Genomic DNA, 22,058 nt, shown 5'->3' on the forward strand with positions numbered 1-22,058 from the left:
GAATAACTAGTTATGAGTATGGGGTTTCTTTTGGGGTGATAAAAATGTTCTAAAATTGTGGTAATGGTTGCACAACTCTGTGAATACACTAAAAACCCCTAAATTGTACACTTTTTTTTTTTGGGGACACAGAGTCTTGCTCTATCTCCCAGGCTGGGGTGCAGTGGCGCCATCTCGGGTCACTACAATATCCACCTCCTGGGTTCAAGTCATTCTCATGCCTCAGCCTCCCAAGTAGCTGAGATTACAGGCATGTGCCCCTATGCCCAGCTAATTTTTGTATTTTTAGTAGAGACAGAGTTTCGCCATGTTGGCCAGGCTGGTCTCGAACTCCTGGCCTCAAGTGATCGGCCCACCTTGGCCTCCCAAAGTACTGTAATTACAGGTGTGAGCCACTCCACCCGGCCAAACAGTATGCTTTAAGTGGGTGAATTGTATGGTGTGTAAATTTTATTTCAACAAAACTATTTTTAAAGAGAAAGAAAACCCAATCACACAGGGCTTAAAAATAAAAACAGGGGCCAGGCACAGTGGCTCACGCCTGTAATCTCAGCACTTTGGGAGGCCGAGGCGGGTGGATCACGAGGTCAGGAGTTCAAGACCAGCCTGGTCAAGATGGTGAAACCCCATCTCTACTAAAAATACAAAAATTAGCCAGGCATGGTGGTGGGCATCTGTAATCCCAGCTACTCAGGAGGATGAGGCAGGGAATTGCTTGAACCCGGGAGGCAGAGGTTGCAGTGAGCTGAGATCACGCCACTGCACTCCATCCTGGGCGACAGAGTAAGGCTCCATCTCAAAAAAATTAAAATAAAAATAAAAAAATAGAAACAGACTATTTGATCGAGTGTCTATTGATTTCTGCTTAGCAAAGTCTGTTTTGATATTTACAGAGCCAAGATGTAACTATTCACATTGCTGGCTGTTGTCACTATTTTCCATGAGAACTTACTGTGTCAGCAAAATTAATGAAGTCTGACTTTTACAGACAGGAGCAGAGATTGGTGGTTAAGCACTAAACATTAAAGGCAGAAAGTTTACATTTTTATTTTTGTAAAGTAATTGTCTCGATCACTTACATTGGTAGCAGTATTGTATTTTTAGTATTGTATTTTTGTACTTGTACTTAGTATTGTATTTAGTACTGTATTTTTAGTAGGGACGGGGTTTCAACATATTGGCCAGGCTAGTCTTGAGCTCCTGGCCTCAACTGATCCACCTGCCTCAAAAGATCCATCCTCCTTCCTCCCTAAGGTTTTTATAGTTATTCTTCCTGACAGTAAGCACTAAGTCACTAAGTATTAATTCAATTCAAACATCTATTGAGCTATCACATCCAGGCATTGTTCTAAGCTCTAGAAAAACAAAGACTCGGCCATCCTGGACCTCAAAGGTCCTGCTGTCTGGCAGAGGGGTGCAGAAGTCCCCTTGGTAAATGTGGTGATCGAGGTGAACCAATGCCATGGGAACAGCCCCTCAACCTGGGGGTGTCAGGGAAAGAAAGTAGGAGTCTTCAATGAACAGAATAATAACATGCATTCTCCCCAAGGCATGACAAAAAATTATTTTGGATAACTTTCTACCCATGAGATTTTGAGGAATGGCAAACTTGATGAAATACCTCTCAGGATCATTGAGGCCAGCAGGGCCAGCCCACAGGACTAAAATACTGTCTCTGTATTGCAAAGAGTGTTTATACATTTTTTTAAATTGTTCCACTGACATTCTCACATCCTTTCTTATGGTAGAAAGCTATTATTGGTCACTGAAATATGCTGTCCCCAACTGCTAGAGGCTTTTGGTAAACTGCTGGATTCTGTTAATTGCTCCTGGGGAGACTCATTAAATGGTTTATCTGACAAGAAGGGTGGAATTAACGGTCACAGTTATCCTTAGGACTGTTTAAGGAACATATCTAAACTTTGCTCCCCATTTCCACACCTTTTTTTTTTTTGAGACAGTCTCGCTAATTTTTGTATTTTTGGTAGAGACGGGGTTTCGCCATGTTGGCCAGGCTGATCTTGAACTCCTAGCCTCAAATGATCCGCCCACCTTGGTCTCCCAAAGTGCTGGGATTACAGGCATGAGCCACTGTGCCTGGCTCCACACTCTTCTAAAGGGAAGGAACACAGGCAGTGGGACGACAGGCGAGACAATCAGAAGGTTTGGGCTTCAGGCCCGGATGTGTCATTACCCACAGCCTAACCTGGGGTGAATTAACTGCAATGCTGTTGGACTGGATTTCCTCTCTGGGTAAGAATTCACGAAATGGATGGCCTTTACGGTCAATTCCAAGTCTAAAAGTCTAGCCATCCATACTAATGGAGTATGATATTCTGAAGACCTGCCTAAAATGGCAGAACAACTTCAAACTGTAGTTTTTACACAGAAACAAGGTTTGAGGCATTGTTTTAAAAGAATCCTAACAGATGGTAATGCATAGGCATTTCACTGCTTTTAAGCACATAAAAAAGCAAAGTGTGTGAAGGTGAAAGAAACCACAAAAATTAATGTCTTGATAGTCAGCTTTCTTCTCTACATGTACATTTATACTCAGGCATAATTATATTCAATAAAAAGCCTTCTTGCATGATTATTAAAAAAAAAAAAATGGGGCCACGTGTGGTAGCTCACACCTGTAATCCCAGCACTTTGGGAGGTCGAGGCAGGTGGATCGCCTGAGGTTGGGAGTTAAAGACCAGCCTGACAAACATGGCGAAACCCTGTCTCTACTAAAAATACAAAAATTAGCCGGGCGTGGTGGCGGGCGCCTGTAATCCCAGGTACTCTAGAGGCTGAGGCAGGAGGATTGCTTGAACCCAGGAGGCGGAGGGTGCAGTGAGCTGAGATTGCACCACAGCACTCCAGCCTGGAAGACAGGTATGAAATCACAACCACTTAAGATTCAAACAAACTTGTGAAAAGTTTTGAAAAGAGTTATTTCAGTTACTGTAATTAGAACAACCTTAGTTAATATGGAGAATTTGGGGGATTTCTGGCTATGGACAGTAGCCTATTGGGGCATATGTACTAAAGAACAGAGAAAAGTGATACATTTAAATGTAAAACCAAACTAGTAAAGGAAGGAGTTCTTGACCTTCAGGGAGTTTCCTCTTGTTTTTTAATTCCCACAATAGATCAGTTCACCTATCAATCAGATCTCCCTCATCACATTCTTTGTCAAGGGTAAAATTCTGGTTCTCCCACGTACCTACACCCTAGACAGAAAACGCATAGAAGCAACTCGTGATTGCCGCATAGACCATGACATCCTACTAGGACAGTGTATCCTACCATATGCATGAAGTCATCACTCACATTAAGTAGATATATTCTGATTATGTCAACAACCTTATGAGATCACTTTGATTCCTCCCCACTGATTTTTTTTTCTTGGAGGGGGACGCTCTCCCAGGTTGGGAACTGTCCACAATTCATATGAATGTGTTGACGGCACAATCAAAGAGATGAACGCAAAAATGTAAAACTGCCACGAATTAATTATACAACTTGGAGAAAGATGTATTATAGCAAGCAATCTCACTGAAATTAAATAATTGAAAATTTTGAACTCTTAGGCTGTAAGGTAGTTAAAATATAGCTAAGTTTTTCTAGCTAGCTGGAAAACGAGCTATTCGAGATTGCATATGAAGTGATTCTAGGAGAAAAAACTATTTCATCCAGAGCTGCTGAAATCTAGGCGTGTGTTACATCAACATCTCCCCTCCCACCCAGCAATCCATCAACCATCTCCAATTTATTCTTTACACTTAGGATTATGACCAAGTTCACGTACTTAAAAGGGAGAAACCACAGAGACATCACACTGAAAGTTTCTCTGCTTTGGGCCAGCAGGAAATTCCAGTTGCTTCATTCACCGGAGCCAGTTAAGCTGCTGAAATGAAATGGATCACCGGAGAGATCACTATATCAGGACATAGACTTGACTTTCAGGGTTGGAGGAAGCCGGACAAAGATGAATGGGATTCAGAGCCTGAACTCAAGGTCAACGTCTTCTGAATCACAAAGAGCTGGTGGGTCAGTCTGGGAGAAGAAAGAAAATTCTGCGCCAAATGGGAAAACCCTTAAAGTCTGCATAGTTTTGCTTGTCGGTAAGAACACAGGTAGGCGGCGGGAAGAGAGGTGGCAAGCAGCCCCAACGCTCGCCGAGATCCCCAGGGTTTTACAAACGGATCGTCCTGAAGTCTCCAAAACTGTAACTACTATATGCCCAAATTTATATTCTCCCCTGGCTTTTCCAACAGGCTACCTGCCTGTGACAGTTTTCCCACGAACTTGGCTCTCCTCTGTCTACAGCGCCCCGGGGTCTCCCAAACAGACAGACACAGACAGACAGAAGGAGCAGACAAGGGGACTGTCCAATTCCCACCCTCCGCGCCCACTCTCTCGAGGTAGCCAAGACCCTCCAGGAGTCCGAAAGTCACAGAGCGCTCTGCGCCCCTGCCACCTGCCCAGCCTCCCGCTGGGGTCCGGCAGTCCCCACTGGAGACCCCGACATCGCGGGGCTCCGCGGCCCCCGCGCCGACCCAGGGCCGCCAGGGGGCGGGCGGGAGCAGCTCTCCGGGTGCCTCCCCCGCCGGTTCCCCTCCCCCGGCCCGCCGGCCACTCACGGATTTTCACTCGGCGGTGGTCCAGGCGCGCAGCGGCGGCTTGCAGGGCGTCGAGGCGGCGGTGCAGCGCGGCGGTGCGGTGGCCCAGCGCGGCCGCCTGGCCCTCGAGCTCGCCGAAGATGTCCCCGGCGCAGCGCGACAGGTCGGCCAGCTGCGCCAGCAGGCAGCCCAGGGCATGCGAGCTGACCTGCTCCAGCGAGCGGAAGAGTGGCGCGCCCGCAGCCCCGGCCCCCGCCGCCTCGGGCCGGCGCAGCCGCGCGGGCTCCAGGGTCCTCTGGTGGAAGGGCATGGCGGGGGCGGGCCGGCGGCGCGGGATCCCTCAGTCTGCCTCCCGTCGGCGCGGGGCGCCAGCCTGCATCCAACACAAAGGAAGTCCCGGGCAGCGGCGGGGCGCCGAGGGAAGCCTGGCGGCCCCTGCCCGCAGGGGAGAGGCCGGGCGGGCAGGAAGGACGGACGGACGGACGGGCGCGCGGGCGAGCGGGCACCCGGGCGGCGCGGGGCAGGAATGGGGTCCGAGCCGTGGCTGCCTGGCGCCCGGCGGCGTTCCTCCACCCGCAGGGCTTCGCGGGCCGCGCGGCGAGAGGAAGTTCCAGGGGCAGCTCTGGGCGGCGGCGGCCGCGGCGGCGAGGGGAGCCGCGAGTCCCGCTGAAGTTTGCAGGCGGGCAGGAAAGCGCCGGCTGCTCCTTCCCTCCCTCCGGATTGGAGAGGGAGGAGGAAGCGAGGGAAGTGCCGCCGACACCGGGCGAGAGGGAGGGGAGGCGAAAGAAAGGAAAGGGGGAGGAGAAAAGGGCCGGCCCGGGAACCACCTGCGGCTCCCGCGGCTGCCGCGCCCAGCGCCCGCAGCCAGTGGCGGCCCCGGCGCCTCAGCGCACCCTGTCGGGGCGGGTGCGGGCGCACAGTCCCGGGACGCCCACGTCGCCGCCCCAACTCCCCTTGGCAGCCCCCGGGCGGTGGGGCAGAGCCCTCGCCCGCCCCCCGGGCCGGGGTGCAGCGCAGTGCGGGCGCCGGGAGGGCGGAGGCGCCAGGACGGCCGCGGCCAGCTCCGCTCGCTCTGCTCACCTGCGCCCCTGCCCACGGCGCTCCGCAGTCAGGAGCGCCCCGCCCCGCGGGGAACGCCCCGGGCCCCTCGGGGTCCCCCTGCTCTCTCCTACTTCCCTTCTGGAAGGTGGCCAACACTTCTGGGCCGCCCGGGTGGACCTCAAATAGAACGTCTTTAAATGTCCGGTGGCCAAGGGTTCTGTAGCCGACTAGGAGTCAGCGTCCGACTCGGAACAACTCAAGACCTCTTTTCAGGGGGCGTCCAGTGAGTTTTTTTCAGCAAGGTGACTCCCCCTGTGGCTGCCTGCTACTACAGCTGGAAAGGTCCAAGCTGAAATGTGACTAATCTGAGTTTCTTCCACCAAGCATGTTAGTTAGGGGTGGAGGACTAGAACCTAGAACCCTGAATTCGAGCCTGGAAGATATGTAAGCCACATGCTATTGAGATCGTGGTCATGGGACACCCGCTAACACAAACCTTCTGGTAGGAAGTTTTTGAGAAGACTGGGTCCAATATCCCCAAGCTAAAATCCCACTGGCCCATCGCTGTGTTTGCTCAGAAAAGGAATCTGGGTTCTTTGGTTTCTGCTTTCCAGTTGACCCTGGTTGCTCCTCTGTTTTACGGCATTTTGGGAGTCGGTCTCCCAGAGCAGCGCTGATTGTAATGAGAAGCGCGTTCCCTCTCTGGGGGACAGGAGCAGTGGGAGAAAAATGGGCCTGGGAAAGAGCTCCTCCAAATAAAACTTATTAGACAGATACGGGTTATGGTGTTGGTGGTGGTGGTGGTGGTGTTTTGGTCTTTATCCTGTTGTACAGCGCCTCATTTTTTACAATGTGGGCCAGTAACTATTTCGTATCACCTACTCTGACCACCTTCAGGGTTGTTATGAGGCTCAAAGGAACGGCTGCTGTGAAAAAACATGCTTTGCAATTTATGAAGCACTGGATAAACATCAGGAACGGTATAAAAGCATGCTGCTTACTCAAGAAATACTAGTTGAGTGCCTGTGTGTTGGGCACTGGCTAGAGATAAGGTAATGTGCAAAGCTGGCTCTGTCCCTGCCATCATGAGACTCTCGTGTAGTGGACCATGCATAACATTTTTAAATTATATACAATATGGCCGGGCGCCGTGGCTCACGCCTGTAATCCCAGCACTTTGGGAGGCCGAGGAGGGCGGATCGCCTGAGGTCAGGAGCTTGAGACCAGCCTGGCCAACATGGTGAAACCCCGTCTCTACTAAAAATACAACAATTGGCCGGGCGTGGTGGTGGGGGCCTGTAATCCCAGCTACTCTGGAGGCTGAGGCAGGAGAATCGCTTGAACCCGGGAGGCAGAGGTTGCAGTGAGCCGAGATCATGCCGTTGCACTCCAGCCTGGGCAACAGAGCCAGACTCTGTCTCAAAAAAAAAAAAAAATTACATACAATATAATTTGCCTATTTAAAGTGTATAACTCAATGCTTTTTAGTATATTTACAATGTTGTGCAAACATCACCATAATCACTTTTAGAACATTTTAATCACACCAGTCTCAAAAAAACAATTCTCTTTAGTACTCAGTTCCCTCCCTCCTAAACCATCACTAGCCAATTGCAACCACTCATGTGTCTATGGATTTGCCCATTGTAGAGGTTTCATATCAATGAAATCATACATGTGTGATTGTTTGTGACTGGCTTCTTTCACTTAGTGTGATGTTTTCAAAGTTTATCCATGGAGTAGCATGGATCAGTTTTGATTCTTTTTTTAAGGCTGCATAATATCCCATTGTTTGGATATGCCACATTTTGTTTATCCATTCATCAGTTAATGGACATTTGGGTGTCCACTTTTTGGCTATTATGATTAATGCTGCTGTGAACATGTGTGTACAAGTTTTTGTGTTAACGTGTGTTTTCATTTCTCTTGGGTACATACCGAGGAGTGGAATTGATGAGTCATGGTGCCAATCTGTTTTCCGAAGTGACTGCACCATTTTACCTCCCAGCCAGCAATGTATGAGGGTTCCAGTTTCTTCACATCCTCGGCAACACTAATTTTTATGTCTTTTTTATTACAGCCATTCTAGTGGGTATAATACCTCATTGTGGATTCGATTTGCATTTTCCTGATAGCTAGTGATAATGAGCATCTTTTCATGATTTTATCAGCTACCTGTTTATCTTCTTTGGAAAAAGATAACATTGTAGAAATGTCTGTTCAGATTCTTGGCCATTATTAAATCAAATTTTTGTCCATTTCTTATCAAGATGTAATAGATCCTTGAATATTCTAGATACAAGTCCCTTAGGTGTAACATTTACTTCCTGATTGCTTTAACAGTCTATTGTGGGTTTTTTGTTTTTTGTTTTTTGTTTTGAGATGGAGTCTCGCTCTGTCACCCAGGCTGGAGTGCAATGGCAGGATCTTGGCTCACTGCAACCTCCGCCTCCTGGGTTCAAGCGATTCTCCTGCCTCAGCCTCCCGTGTAGCTGGGATTACAGGTGCCTGCCACCACGCCCAGCTAATTTTGTATTTTTAGTAGAGATGGATTTCACCATGTTGGCCCGGCTGGTGTTGAACTCCTGACCTCAGGTGATCCACCCACCTCAGCTTCTCAAAGTGCTGGGATTACAAGCGTGAGCCACAGCACCCGGCCCAGCATTGTTCTTTAGTTTATTCCCTCTTCTATTCCCTTGAGACTTTCCCATTGGTTTGAAAAGAATTATGATTTAGCCACATAAACTAATAAAAAGAGAGCAAGAATATTTTTGTAAATTTGTAATCCTGGGGCAATATCAATAGAATTTTTTTTATAAAATGAATGATTTCACTACTCCAGAAGTGGAATGTAAACTCTATACATAACCAGAACATGGAATTAACAGGACTCATGGGTGTATCCATAAAAGCAACTGAATTTTTAGTCTTCTGCTGTTAATAATCTGTTCCATGAGGATAGTTCTTCCTCTTCCACAGAATGAAACTCAGGCAGTCCTATAACTTTTTTATTCTCTCAGGTAATAGAAAATCCTGTTACTTTAAGAGGAAAAACCCTGCTCTTAATTCAGTAATTCAAATCTTGTCCCCTTCCCCAACAGGGTCTCCTATGGACAGAAGTGCGGGCAAGGAGCTTTGTTCCTCCCCGATGTCACCCTCCCACAGCCCACTTGCTAGCAGGCAAGAGAGGGGTGGAGGCCGGCAGTAAGGCATGTACTGAACTGGACCTCTGGTGGAATGGGTCACCCACGCTGGGCTTGGTGGGTATTTGAAAGTGACTCTTTCGTGAACACTGTTGTGAGCCCTCACTGGGAATGTCTGGCCATGCTTCCTGACGCTGGCAATGAATTTTCTCTAGCTGCTTATTCTACCCCAACCTTGGTCTTCCTTCTGTCCCCTCCATGCAGACTCTTACCATCAGGGTCCTGCCAACCCTTCAGTGAGACTTTTTCCGAAGAATCCCTTTTAAAATGACCTCAAGCTGACCTTCCTGATGCAGATTCCACATATGGTATCTGAGACTCACACAGTGTGGTTGGAAGATAGCACAGTGACCTCCCAGGCACAGCCCTCTGCCAGCCCTCCACTGGCTGCCCTAGGATGCTGGCCTTCCTCCGATGGGAGTCGGGCCCAGTCTGCTGTGAGCCAGGAGAAGCCAGCAAGCTCCCTGCGAGGCCTGGAGGAGCCCTTCTCACTCAGCTTGGTGTTCGATGCCAGTGCCCCCGCCCATTGTGGGGTGAGGGTGGGACTCTCAGCACAGCCCTGTCCAAATAAATCCTCTAAAGCCCTCTTCCATCTGCAGTCACTTGAGTCTTTTGTAGCCTGTGTGATTGAGCATCTAAGCAGTCCTCAGCTATTTACTTTGAAATTTCGTAAGTGATTTTGGTATCTGTCATTTCTTGATGCATCAGTCACAACTCCCCATCTAACATCCCATTAAATAATATATAAAACAGAACAAAAACATTGTGCCAACTTCTTCTAAGAAGAATTTAATGTCACTTCCTAAGTTAAGCAGTTGGGCCCTGTCCCATGACTGTTCATCTCTGCTCAATAGTCATCAAGAGCTGAGAAAGAAGAAAGGAGCCCTGGGGGCCTAAGCTGTGTGTGTGTGTGTGTGTGTGTGTGTGTGTGTGTGATTATGAGAAACACTCTCCATTCTGTTTTTCATTAATATCTAAAGGGAAATTCTATTAAATCAATTCCAAGACCAAAAATTGTGGACATTTGTGTGTTTTTTAAAGACACTAAAAACAAGTGGAATGTACAGATAGACTATATTATTTCCCAACTTTTTGATATATAGTACAAATTGTTCCTGAATTAAAAGTCTAATGATTGATACATTTTTTGTATTATCTTACCTGCTAGGGAAAAAAAAATTGCCATGATGCGAAAAAGATGCAACAGGCACCGTGGGGTATAGCGTGTAGCAGTCTTCTGTCCATGAAATACTGTGGTTTATATGCAGGATTAGCCAAGTGGTAGAAACCTCGGTCCAGCCAGTCTGGAGACTAGTAAACCAAAAAGAGACTTTTCTGCTTCTAACGGACATAGGCAAGTGGTAATTTCTCACCAAATTAAAAATAACACTGGTCTTTGATTAGCTAGAGAGATCTTCTTAAAATGCTTATCTGATTGTGTCCCCCTCCCTCAGCTCAAAAATCTGTAAAGCTTTTCCATTACTTTTTGGATTAACAAAAATGAGGTCCACAAAGCCCAGAGAGTGTTGTCCCTACCTTTCTCTCTAGCCGATTTCCTGTCTCCCTCCTCCTGTACTGCCTCCCCCACCTTGTGATCCAGGCCATATGGATTCAATGCCTCCTCCATTCTCCCTTCTCTCTCTCCTTTGTTCAGTCAGCTTTTCAGATTTTGGTTCAGATGTCACTTCCTTGGCCCTCCCCTCCCAGGCCAGATCAAGTCTCCCTATTCTAGACTACTAAACTTTTTGAACATTTAAGTGTTTCTATTTATATATTTATATAATTTATTATTATCTATATTAGGGCCCTGAAAAGAAACAAATCAACTCAGAGGGTTCAACTAAGAGAACTTAATGAAGAAACAAAAACCAGAGGTGCTGCGGCACTCAGGAACTAGCAAGAGCAGGAAACCTTTATGAATCCTTGGTTCAAAGGGGTAGAAGGGAGCACCACCTCGATTCCCCACCCCAGGAATGGAGTACTCATCTACTAGCAGTTCGAAGTGCCAGGACCAACAGGTCTCAACTAAATTTTTCTCTGGGACCTGTCCTTGCCTAAGGGGAACTTCCTCACCCAAAAGCATGCCCCCTTTCCCTGGGGCAGCCTCATGCAATGACTGGTCTGTGCAGAGGTGTGAAGATCCAGTTCACATGCCCCAAATTGGGACAACTAACTACAGGGCCATCCTAGCCCACTCTGCCCAATCCTGATCCTCTCACTCCCCCACCCCAAGTGGTCATCCCATGAACACTCCCCAGCTAACTTCCTGTGGGCACAGTATCAGGGGCTGCTTCGCACAGAACCTACCTAGAGAAAGGCCAAGGTAAAGAAAGTGTCACCCAAGCCCTATAAGAGCTTCCACTTTGGGCAAGCAGTGAGTAGGGAAAACAGATCTCCGCCTCTCCCACTTCTCTATTTCCTGCCTGGACCTTCTATTGGTGGAAGCCATTGGGTGACATAACCCACAGGAATCAGCCTTCTGGGGTAAAACACAGCAGAAGATAGATAATAGTGGGGAGAAGAGGGCAGAGACAAAATTTCCCCTTAGTAATCTGGTAGTACATACAGTGGCAAAAGAAGCCCCAAATAACTAAGAGTCTTAGCTTCCAATTTAATAGAACTATGGCTATTGATATAGTTTGGATGTGTGTCCCTGCCCAAATCTCTTGTTGACATGTAATCCCCAATGTTGGAGGTTGGACTTGGTGGGAAGTGATTGGATCATGAGGGCAGATATCTCATGAATAGTTCAGTATCATTCCTTTGGTACTATCCTGACAACAGTGAGTGAATTCTCACAAGATCTGGTTGTTTAAACGTGTGTGGCACCTCGCGCCCTAACTCTTGCTCCTGCTCTGGCCTTGTGATGTGCCTGCTGCTCCCTTCACCTTCCACCATGATTGTAAGCTTCCTGGGGCCTCCCCAGGAGCTGAGCCCAGCATCATGCTTCCTATACAACTTGCAGAACCATGAGCCAGTTAAACCTCTTTCTTTATAAATTATCTAGCCTCAGGTATTTACAGCCATATGAGAACATCCTAACAGCTATGTTCTCTAGTAGAAGGCTCCTTCCTTCTTTGTTAACAAGGACTTCCAATCAAAAGCCAGCTGGCAAGGAAACCTGAGGAATGCTGCATAACTGAGCCTTTTCAGACATGAAGTATGGAGGAAGAGGAGGAAGACAGCATGTATTAGGTTGGTGCAAAGGTAGTTGCAGTTTTTGCATTGTTGAAATTTGCTATTTGATATTGGAATACATTCTTAAATGTGGTTATGTTATACATCATTTTAATGCACATTTCACACTTTGTGGGGTTTTTTTTTTTTGCTAATGACTTATTATTTGCTGTTTATTTTATATTTATTTGAGACTATGGAAATGATAGACAAAAAGCAAATTCAAGCGGTTTTCTTATTCAAGAAAGCAACAGAGACAACTCGCAACATCAACAATGCATTTGGCCCAGGAACTGCAAACGAACATTCAGTGCAGTCATGGTTCAAGACATTTTGCAAAGGAGATGAGAGCCTTGAAGATGAGGAGCATAGTGGCCGGCCATCAGAAGTTGACATTGACTAATTGAGAGCAATCATCCAAGCTGATCCTCTTACAACTTGCCAAAGAACTCAACATCGGCCATTCTACAGGTATTTGGCATTTGAAGCAAATTGGAAAGGTGAAAAAGCTAGATAAGTGGGTGCCTCATGAGCTAAGCAAAAATTTTTAAAAATCGTCATTTTGAAGTGTGATCTCCTGTTCTATGCACAATGAACCATTTCTTCATTGGATTGTGACGTGCGATGAAAAGTGGATTTTATAGACAACGGCGACAACCAGCTCAGTGGATGGACTGAGAAGCAGCTCCAAAGCACTTTGCAAAGCCAAACTTGAACCAACAAAAGGTCATGGTCCCTGTTTGGTGGTCTGCTGCCGGTCTGATCCACTACAGCTTTCTGAATCCTGGCGAAACCATTACATCTGAAAAGTATGCTCAGCAAATCGATGAGATGCACAAAAACCTGCAGCACCGGCAGCCAGCATTGGTCAACAGAAAGGGCCCAATTCTTCTCCACAACAACGCCCCACTGCACATCACACAACCAACGCTTCAAAAGTCGAACGAATTAGGCTACAGAGTTTTGCCTCATCCACCATATTCACCTGACCCTTCGCCAACCGACTACCACTTCTTCAAGCATCTTGACAACTTTTTGTGGGGAAAATGCTTCCACAACGAGCAGGATGCAGAAAATGCTTTCCAAGAGTTCATCAAATCCCGAAGCACACTTTTTTTTTTTTTTTTTTTTTTTTTTGGTGACAGAGTCTCACTCTGTCGTCAGGCTGGAGTGCAGTGGTGTGAGCTTGGCCCACTGCAATCTCCACCTCCCAGGTTCAAGCAATTCTCCTGCCTCAGCCTCCCGAGTAGCTGGGACTACAGGCGCATGCCACCACACCCAGCTAATTTTTTGTATTTTTAGTAGAGACGAGGTTTCACCATGTTGGACAGGATGGTCTTGATCTCTTGACCTTGTGATCCGCCCGCCTCAGCCTCCCAAAGTGCTGGGATTACAGGCGTGAGCCACTGTTCCCGGCCCCAAAGCAGATTTTTATTCTACAGGAATAAACAAACTTATTTCTTGTTGGCAAAAATGTGTTGACTGTAATGGTTCCTATTTTGATTAATAAAGATGTGTTTGAGCCTAGTAATAATGATTTAAAATTCAGTCTAAAACCGCAATTACTTTTGCACCAACCTAATAGAAAATAACCAGCACCCTACTGTGTTATTGTATTAGTCCATTCTCATGCTGCTATGAAGAAATACCCAAGACTGGGTGATTTATAAAGGAAAGGGCTGTGAGACTGACCGTACACCAATTCGTTAGCTTGTCTGGGCCTCCATTTCCTCCTGATGAAAAGCATAAAGTTTTCTCCTCTACCTATATATTAATTTCTGTTTTTTTTTCTTTTAGCTGTCAGAAGCATGGGCATTCTACCTATACATTTAGCTGTGCTCATACATTCATCATTACCTCCTTCCTCCATCCTAAAGCAGAACGCAATTCTATTCAAGATGTTCTCAGCACCTGGGCTTAGGAGTCCATCTGTTCCTGCACCCTCCACAACCTTTCACCAAGTATTACCCTCTTTATTTATTTTTTTTTTTTTTGCATCTTCACCTTTTCTTTCTCCATTTGCCACTCGATATTTAAAATACACTCAAGCCTCTCTCACTGAAAGATTAAAACCCTTCTCTTCATTTCAGTTCTCTAAGTAGCTAGCCACAACCCTTTCTCCCTCCCCTTCATGGTCAAGCTTCTAGAATACCCTGCATTGAAAGTTTTCAGGTGCACAACCATCCACTGCCATCTGCTTTCTCACCCATCCTTGCTTTGAAATGGTTCTGCTGCTGTCTCTGGCACCTTCCTGCTTGCTTTGGTCCTTGGATGTCAGCTGCATTCCCACTTTCTTGAAACTTCGTTCCCAGGTGTCTGCCATGCTCTTCTTATTACCCATTCTATATCACACTTTCCAAGCTTTGGGGACTGAAGGCTATGAACACAGTCTCCCAAAATGTGGCCTTTATTTTTTCTGTACCTCTAAAGTCAACACATGAGTCCTCTAGGAATTGATGTACCTCAGTTCATCCACACAACCTGAGCAACTCAGCCATGCCTATGACTTCAGCAATCACTTACTTACTGATAATGGCCAAAAATCCCTATCTTCAAGCAGGGTTCGTATCTCAGTTCTTACCACCTACCAGTTGTGTGGGCTTGGGAAAAGTAGTTCACCACTCATATTTCAGTTCATCTGTGAAATGCAGATTGTAATGAGATAACCCTGCCATGGTTGCCAGGGTCTCATTAGTTACAACATGTAAAGTGCTTAGATATCACTTGTTACATAATTGGTTTATAGTTAATAAATGTTTGTTATATCACTAGATACCTTCCTCTTCCCCTTTCTCTCCCCCTTCCCTCTTACCCCTTCTCTGTCTCTTTCTCTCTGTCCCCAAATCAATATATTCAACTAATAAAGGAAATTTCAACCTGAACCTCCAACATATATGCCCAAAATTGAGCTCTATCTACTCCACTACCCTTCCTTCTGCATTTCTTATACCTGAACTAATCCTCACAGCATGCCAGAGTCCTCCATGCAGAATGACGGCCTACAGCCTTGGGATAGAGTTATTGAGTTGGTTACAAATCAGCCGCCCAAATTATATTCCTCTATCTTATCTATAAAAGTATTGGGAGTCTATTAACCTTATTGAAACCATGTTGCCATTCTTCTGTTCTACAAGTTACCATCTCAAAAAGAAACTAAGGTTCTGTGATCCAAAGAGAGAAAATAGCTATAGAAAATGAAATGCAGACTGGGCATGGTGGCTTACGCTGTAATTCCAACACTTTGAGAGGCCAAAGTCAAAGTGGGAGAATCCCCTGAGCTCAGGAGTTCAAGACCAGCCTGGGCAACATGGCAAAACCCCATCTCTACAAAAAATGCAAAACATCAGCTGGGTGTGGTGGCACACGCCTGTGGTCCCAGCTACCCAGGAGGCTGAGGTGGGAGGATCACCTGAGCCCAGGAGGAGGTCAAGGCTGTAGTGAACCAAGGTAGTGCCACTGCACTCCAGCCTGGATGACAGAATGAGACCCTGTCTTAAAAAAATAAATAAAATGCAGCAAATAAATATCCTTTAAAATCTCAACAAGAGCAATTAGAAACAAATTTTCTACAGTTATTCAACTATAATACATAATGTTTATAAAGAACATGGACAAAAAGAAAAGAAAACCTGAATCAGAACCAGGGCAGAAGCGTTTCTCTTAGCCAATTTTACCAACACCATATTGAGAAGGAATCAGAAGTATCAGAATTATAGTAGGTGTTCTTTTTAGTTTGTTGTTTTCGTATGTATGCTTGGGTGAACTGTTTAGGAAACTGTATCTAGTTATGGATTACTCCCTGAAGAGCTGCTTTCACCCAGTAGCCTTTTGAAAACTCAGCTGGTCTTTGTCAACTAACAATACAAGAAACAGTTTATAAATCTATTATTTTGTTTGCTATGAATATTTACTTGAGAAATTCCTTTTAAAAGCAATAATAGGAATAGCATTTCTTCCTAGAAGAAATAAGTTTTTTTCTCTCTCTCATGATTAATCAAAGTTTTAAACTAACCCTAGTTCTCTTATCACTGGTTTTGATGACAAATTTGGTTTCTGAGTCAAATTCATTGTATTTTAGTGTCCGGGCAGGCCCTTCTGGATGGGATGTTTGTGTTCTATTTGCCCAGTACCCAATACCCCCACCACCATGATTACTAACCTACTATTCCATTTTCCATCGCCACACTCTTTAAAATTTTTATTTACTTTTTGACAAGTGTATCTGGTGAGCTGCCTCAAATTCTTGGTGAAGAAGATGAAGTGTGCATTACATTTAGTTTATTGGTGAATCAATTATTTAATATGGATACCATTATTCCCTATTAACCCCTCATACTGTTTTTGATGTTCTAAGGTTGCAAACATTGTTTATGCATTATCAACAGGAGGCAGCTGAACTGATTAAGCCCACCTGACGCACCCTACTGCCCAGACTGGACAGGCCAAGCAAGTCCCCGATTGATGCCTGACCATCTTATCCAAACAGTAGGCCTCTCTTCCAGAGTCCATACTCCAAAGATAGTTTGAGAAGATGATAGGGAGGGCAGATGTATTAGTTCTCTAGAAGGACGGGACTAATAGGATAAATGTATACATGAAAGGGAGTTATTAAGGAGCATTGACTCACACGATCACAAAGTGAAGTCCCACAATAGGCCATGTGCAAGCTGAGGAGCAGGGAAGCCATTCTGAGTCCCAAAACCTCAAAATAGGGAAGCCAACAGTGCAGTCTTGAGTCTGTGGCTGAAGGCCCGAGAGCCACTGGCAAACCACTGGTGTAAGTCCAAGAGTCCAAAAGCTGAAGAACTTGGAGTCTGATGTTCGAGGGCAGGAAGCATCCAGCACAGGAGAAAAATGAAAGCCAGAAGACTCAAGCAGTCTGTTCTTTCCATTCCTGCTTTTATGGTGGCAGCTGATTGGATGGTGCTCACCAGATTGAGGGTGGGTTGGCCTGTCCCAGTCTACTGACTCGAATGTTAATCTCCTTTGACAACACCCTCACAGACACACCCAGGAACAATACTTTGCATCCTTTAATCCAATCAAGTTGACACTCAGTATTAACCATCACACCAGACAAATTTATTATTCCACAAATTCATATTATCTTTATTTTCCAATTTCTCTTGAGAATCCTCATTCTGTACCTCTCCTCCATCCCTCTTTTGGCCATTTAATTATTTCATTCTTCATCCTCAGAAGGAAGTGAGGAAAATATGGCCAAATATTAGACTGTTAAAATGTGTACCTGAGACGGGAAAAAAATTAAAGACCAATGCTCTGTAGTAAGAGCAGAAAATTAAGGAAATTATTTTTTTGATTTGTGACGTCCTGAAAAAAAAGTTTCTTCTAGAATTATCTACAGAGACTGTTTGTATTTCCTACCTACAGTAATTATCTAAATTGTCCACTTCTTACCCACCATGGAGATCTAAGCAAGACATGAAAAATGGCTTTTTCCCAGTTTTGGAGAAGTTATTCTAATGAGTTTAGGCTCCTTGCTTTACTATTTTCTTTCCTCATTTTCAACCACCAATTAAATCTAATATTTGTATGTAATTTTCTTGGAGAAAGCATGCAAACACAAACAAGATACAATTTTCTTACTTATTAAGTCTCTAGGAGAAAATTTTATACTGAGAAAAACAATGCTTTTGGATAAGTATAATCCTTTGTTTCCATTTCTCACACCCCGTGAAAGTGGCTAATCATAATTTGGGCTCTTTTTTTTTTTTTTTGAATAATGCAAAATGCTGGAATTTTTAAATGATCATACTTCAACAAATAAAACTTGAAAAGGGAACACTGTCAGTAACAGAATAATCCATCATCTTGGGCAGGCAACTGATTATTTGTAATATTACCCATCTCCAAGTATCAAAACTGAAGAGCTTTTTCATTAATTCGAGAAACTGGAGCATTCTCAGAAAATTCCACAATAATGTATCTTGTCCAGAAGTGGGTTTACCGCGAAGATGATGAAGGTGAAGCCTCAGAGCCCTTCATTTTTTTTTTCTTAGGCCCTGGAGGCCCTATCAATGTAAGGGTCACATTTTTTTATATATACTTTAAGTTCTAGGGTACATGTGCATAACGTGCAGGTTTGTCACGTAAGTATACATGTGCCATGCTGGTTTGCTGCACCCATGAACTCATCATTTACATTACGTATTTCTCCTAATGCTATCCCTCTGCCAGCCCCCCACCCCATGACAGGCCCCCGTGTGTGATGTTCCCCGCCCTGTGTCCAAGTGTTCTCATTGTTCAATTCCCACCTATGAGTGAGAATATGTGGTGTTTGGTTTTCTGTCCTTGTGATAGTTTGCTGAGAATGATGGTTTCCAGATTCATCCATGTCCCTGCAAAGGACATTAACTCATCCTTTTTTATGGCTGCATACTATTCCATGGTATATATGTGCCACATTTTCTTAATCCAGTCTATCATTGATGGACATTTGGGTTGGTTCCAAGTCTTTGCTATTGTGAATAGTGCTGCAATAAACATATGTATCCATGTGTCTTTATGGTAGCATGATTTATAATCCTTTGGGTATATACCCAGTAATGAGATCACTGGGTCAAATGGTAATTCTAGTTCTAGATCCTTGAGGAATCACCACACTGTCTTCCACAATGGTTGAACTAATTTACACTCCCACCAACAGTGTAAAAGCATTCCTGTTTCTCCACATCCTCTCCAGCATCTGTTGTTTCCTGACTTTTTAATGATTGCCATTCTAACTGGTATGAGATGGTATCTCATTTTGGTTTTGACTTGCATTTCTCTGATGACCAGTGATGATGAGCATTTTTTCATGTGTCTGTTGACTGCATAGATGTCTTCTTTTGAGAAGTGTCTGCTCATATCTTTTGCCCACCTTTTGATGGGGTTGTTTTTTTTCTTGTAAATTTGTTTGAGTTCTTTGTAGATTCTAGATATTAGCCCTTTGTCAGATGGGTAGATAGCAGAAATTTTCTCCCATTCTGTAGTTTGCCCGTTCACTCTGATGGCAGTTTCTTTTGCCACGTGGAAGCTGTTTAGTTTAATTAGATCCCATTTGTCTATTTTGGCTTTTGTTGCCATTGCTTTTGGTGTTTTGGTCATGAAGTCCTTGCCCATGCCTATGTCCTGAATGGTATTGCCTAGGTTTTCTTCTAGGGTTTTTATGGTTTTAGGTCTAACATTTAAGTCTTTAATCCATCTTGAATTAATTTTTGTATAAGGTGTAAGGAAGGGATCCAGTTTCAGCTTTCTACATATGGCTAGCCAGTTTTCCCAGCACCATTTATTAAATAGGGAATCATTTCCCCATTTCTTGTTTTTGTCAGGTTTGTCAAAGATCAGATGGTTGTAGATGTGTGGTGTTATTTCTGAGGCCTCAGTTCTGTTCCATTGGTCTCTATATCTGTTTTGGTACCAGTACCATGCTGTTTTGGTAACTGTAGCCTTGTAGTATAGTTTGAAGTCAGGTAGCGTGATGCCTCCAGCTTTGTTCTTTTTGCTTAGGATTGTCTTGGCAACACGGGCTCTTTTTTGGTTCTATATGAACTTTAAAGTAGCTTTTTCCAATTCTGTGAAGAAAGTCATTGGTAGCTTGATGGGGATGGCATTGAATCTATAAATTACTTTGGGCAGTATGGCCATTTTCATGATATTGATTCTTCCTATCCATGAGCATGGAATATTCTTCCATTTGTTTGCATCCTCTTTTATTTTGTTGAGCAGTGGTTTGTAGTTCTCCTTGAAGAGGTCCTTCACATCCCTTGTAAGTTGGATTCCTAGGTATTGTATTCTCTTTGTAGCAATTGCGAATGGGAGTTCACTCATGATTTGGCTCTCTGTTTGTCTGTTAATGGTGTATAGGATTGCTTGTGATTTTTGCACATTGATTTTATATCCTGAGACTTTGCTGAAGTTGCTTATCAGCTTAAGAAGATTTTGTGCTGAGATGATGGGGTTTTCTAAATATACAATCATGTACCTGCAAACAGGGACAATTTGACTTCCTCTTTTCCTAACTGAATACCCTTTCTTTCTTTCTCCTGCCTGATTGCCCTGGCCAGAACTTCCAACACTATGTTGAATAGAAGTGGTGAGAGAGGGCATCTTGTGCCAGTTTTCAAAAGGAATGCTTCCAGTTTTTGCCCATTCAGTATGATACTGGCTATGGGTTTGTCATAAATAGCTCTTATTATTTTCAGATATGTTCCATCAATACCTAGTTTATTGAGAGTTTTTAGCATGAAGGGCTGTTGAATTTTGTCGAAGGCCTTTTCTGCATCTATTGAGATAATCATGTGGTTTTTGTCATTGGTTCTGTTTATGTGATGGATTACATGTACTGATTTGCGTATGTTGAACCAGCCTTGCATCCCAGGTATGAAGCCGACTTGATCGTGGTGAATAAACTTTTTGATGTGCTGCTGGATTCGGTTTGCCAGTATTTTATTGAGGATTTTTGCATCAATGTTCATCAGGGATATTGGTCTAAAATTCTCTTTTTTTGTTGTGTCTCTGCCAGTCTTTGGTATCACGATGATGTTGGCCTCATAAAATGAGTTAGGGAGGATTCCCTCCTTTTCTATTGATTGGAATAGTTTCAGAAGGAATCGTACCAGCTCCTCTTTGTACCTCTGCTAGAATTCGGCTGTGAATCCGTCTGGTCCTGGATGTTTTTGATTGGTAGACTATTAATTATTGCCTCAATTTCAGAGCCTGTTACTGGTCTAGTCAGGGATTCAACTTCTTCCTGGTTTAGTCTTCGGAGGGTGTATGTGTCCAGGAATTTATCCATTTCTTCTAGATTCTCTAGTTTATTTGCGTAGAGGTGTTTATAGTATTCTCTGATGGTAGTTTGTATTTCTGTGGAATTGGTGGTGATATCCCGTTTATTGTTTTTTATTACATCTATTTGATTCTCTCTTTTCTTCTTTATTAGTCTTGCTAGCAGTCTATCAATTTTGTTGATCTTTTCAAAAAACCAGCTCCTGGATTCATTGATTTTTTTGAAGGGTTTTTTGTGTCTCTATCTCTTTCAGTTCTGCTCTGATCTTAGTTATTTCTTGCCTTCTGCTAGCTTTTGAACTTGTTTGCTCTTGCTTCTCTAGTTCTTTTAATTGTGATGTTAGGGTGTCAATTTTAGATCTTTCCTGCTTTCTCTTGTGGGCATTTAGTGCTATAAATTTCCCTCTACACACTGCTTTAAATTTGTTCCAGAGATTCTGGTGCGTTGTGTCTTTGTTCTCATTGGTTTCAAAGAACATCTTTATTTCTGCCTTCATCTTGTTATTTACCCAGTAGTCTCAGGAGGAGGTTGTTCAGTTTCCATGTAGTTGTGTGTTTTTGAGTGAGTTTCTTAATCCTGAGTTCTAATTTGATTGCACTGTGGTCTGAGAGACAGTCTGTTGTGATTTCTGTTCTTTTACATTTGCTAAGGAGTGCTTTACTTCCACTTATGTGGTCAATTTTAGAATAAGTGCGATGTGGTGCTGAGAAGAATGTATATTCTGTTGATTTGGGGTGGAGAGTTCTGTCAATGTCTATTAGGTCTGCTTGCTGCAGAGCTGAGTTCGGGTCCTGGATATCCTTGTTAACCCTATGTCTCGTTGATCTGTCTAATATTGACAGTGGGGTGTTAAAGTCTCCCATTATTCTTGTGTGGAAGTCTAAGTCTCTTTGTAGGTCTCTAAGGACTTGCTTTATGAATCTGGGTGCTCCTGTATTGGGTGCATATATTTTTAGGATAGTTAGCTCTTCTTGTTGCATTGAGCCCTTTACCATTATGTAATGGCTTTCTTTGTCTCTTTTGATCTTTGTTGGTTTAAAGTCTGTTTTATCAGAGACTAGGATTGCAACCCCTGCTTTTTTTTGCTTTCCATTTGCTTAGTAGATCTTCCTCCATCCATTTATTTTGAGCCTATGTGTGTCTTTGAACGTGAGATGGGTCTCCTGAATACAGCACACTGATGGATCTTGACTCTTTATCCAATTTGCCAGTCTATGTCTTTTAATTGGGGCATTTAGC

At 44.2% G+C, this 22,058-nt stretch overlaps 2 protein-coding genes and 1 long non-coding RNA gene across 10 annotated transcripts in view, besides 5 other annotated features; 2 read left to right on the top strand and 1 right to left on the bottom strand.

The window, feature by feature from the left end:
• NHSL1 (NHS like 1) overlaps positions 1-5,368 on the bottom strand; it is a 271,170-nt gene extending 265,802 nt beyond the window's left edge. For all 4 annotated transcript variants that reach the window (XM_047419113.1, XM_047419109.1, XM_047419110.1 and 1 more), the window contains exon 1: positions 4,632-5,368. In XM_047419113.1, the coding sequence (XP_047275069.1) occupies positions 4,632-4,920 (289 nt within the window). In that variant the 5' untranslated portion in view covers positions 4,921-5,368. The remainder of the gene's footprint in view (positions 1-4,631) is intronic.
• Positions 3,219-4,418: an enhancer, noted in NCBI's record as "BRD4-independent group 4 enhancer chr6:139012200-139013399 (GRCh37/hg19 assembly coordinates)". NCBI's record gives its function as "activates an origin of replication core promoter dependent on BRD2, P300/CBP, MED14 and CDK7 cofactors, and independent of BRD4, by STARR-seq in HCT116 cells {active_cell/tissue: HCT116}" and the evidence as "EXISTENCE:reporter gene assay evidence [ECO:0000049][PMID:35650434]".
• On the top strand, positions 3,824-9,444 carry NHSL1-AS1 (NHSL1 antisense RNA 1). Its single transcript, NR_033896.1, has 4 exons — positions 3,824-4,124; positions 6,549-6,703; positions 8,753-8,911; positions 9,059-9,444. It is a non-coding gene; the product is annotated as an NHSL1 antisense RNA 1 (long non-coding RNA).
• Positions 4,541-4,590: a silencer, noted in NCBI's record as "silent region_17597". NCBI's record gives its function as "represses an Ori minimal core promoter by ATAC-STARR-seq in GM12878 lymphoblastoid cells {active_cell/tissue: GM12878}" and the evidence as "EXISTENCE:reporter gene assay evidence [ECO:0000049][PMID:35858748]".
• Positions 4,601-4,950: a silencer, noted in NCBI's record as "silent region_17598". NCBI's record gives its function as "represses an Ori minimal core promoter by ATAC-STARR-seq in GM12878 lymphoblastoid cells {active_cell/tissue: GM12878}" and the evidence as "EXISTENCE:reporter gene assay evidence [ECO:0000049][PMID:35858748]".
• LOC124900217 (collagen alpha-1(III) chain) lies at positions 4,882-9,444 on the top strand. 5 transcript variants are annotated; one of them, XM_047419633.1, is made up of 3 exons: positions 4,882-6,703; positions 8,753-8,911; positions 9,059-9,444. In XM_047419633.1, exon 1 carries the CDS (start codon positions 4,919-4,921, stop codon positions 5,846-5,848), a length of 930 nt encoding a protein of 309 aa, XP_047275589.1. In that variant the 5' UTR covers positions 4,882-4,918; the 3' UTR covers positions 5,849-6,703; positions 8,753-8,911; positions 9,059-9,444. The 5 variants fall into 5 exon arrangements, with proteins under 5 accessions (XP_047275589.1, XP_047275592.1, XP_047275590.1 ...); XM_047419636.1 differs by having other exon boundaries at positions 9,151-9,444; XM_047419634.1 differs by having other exon boundaries at positions 4,882-8,911.
• Positions 5,431-5,490: a silencer, noted in NCBI's record as "silent region_17599". NCBI's record gives its function as "represses an Ori minimal core promoter by ATAC-STARR-seq in GM12878 lymphoblastoid cells {active_cell/tissue: GM12878}" and the evidence as "EXISTENCE:reporter gene assay evidence [ECO:0000049][PMID:35858748]".
• Positions 5,531-5,670: a silencer, noted in NCBI's record as "silent region_17600". NCBI's record gives its function as "represses an Ori minimal core promoter by ATAC-STARR-seq in GM12878 lymphoblastoid cells {active_cell/tissue: GM12878}" and the evidence as "EXISTENCE:reporter gene assay evidence [ECO:0000049][PMID:35858748]".
• Positions 9,445-22,058: the final 12,614 nt, after the last annotated feature.

Source organism: Homo sapiens, chromosome 6 (genome assembly GCF_000001405.40).
Source record: "Homo sapiens chromosome 6, GRCh38.p14 Primary Assembly".
NCBI lineage: Eukaryota > Metazoa > Chordata > Mammalia > Primates > Hominidae > Homo > Homo sapiens.

Coding starts and splice junctions, on each gene's coding strand:
- LOC124900217 (XM_047419634.1), top strand. CDS start 4,919: ATGGCGGGGGCGGGCCGGCGGCGCGGGATCCCTCAGTCTGCCTCCCGT.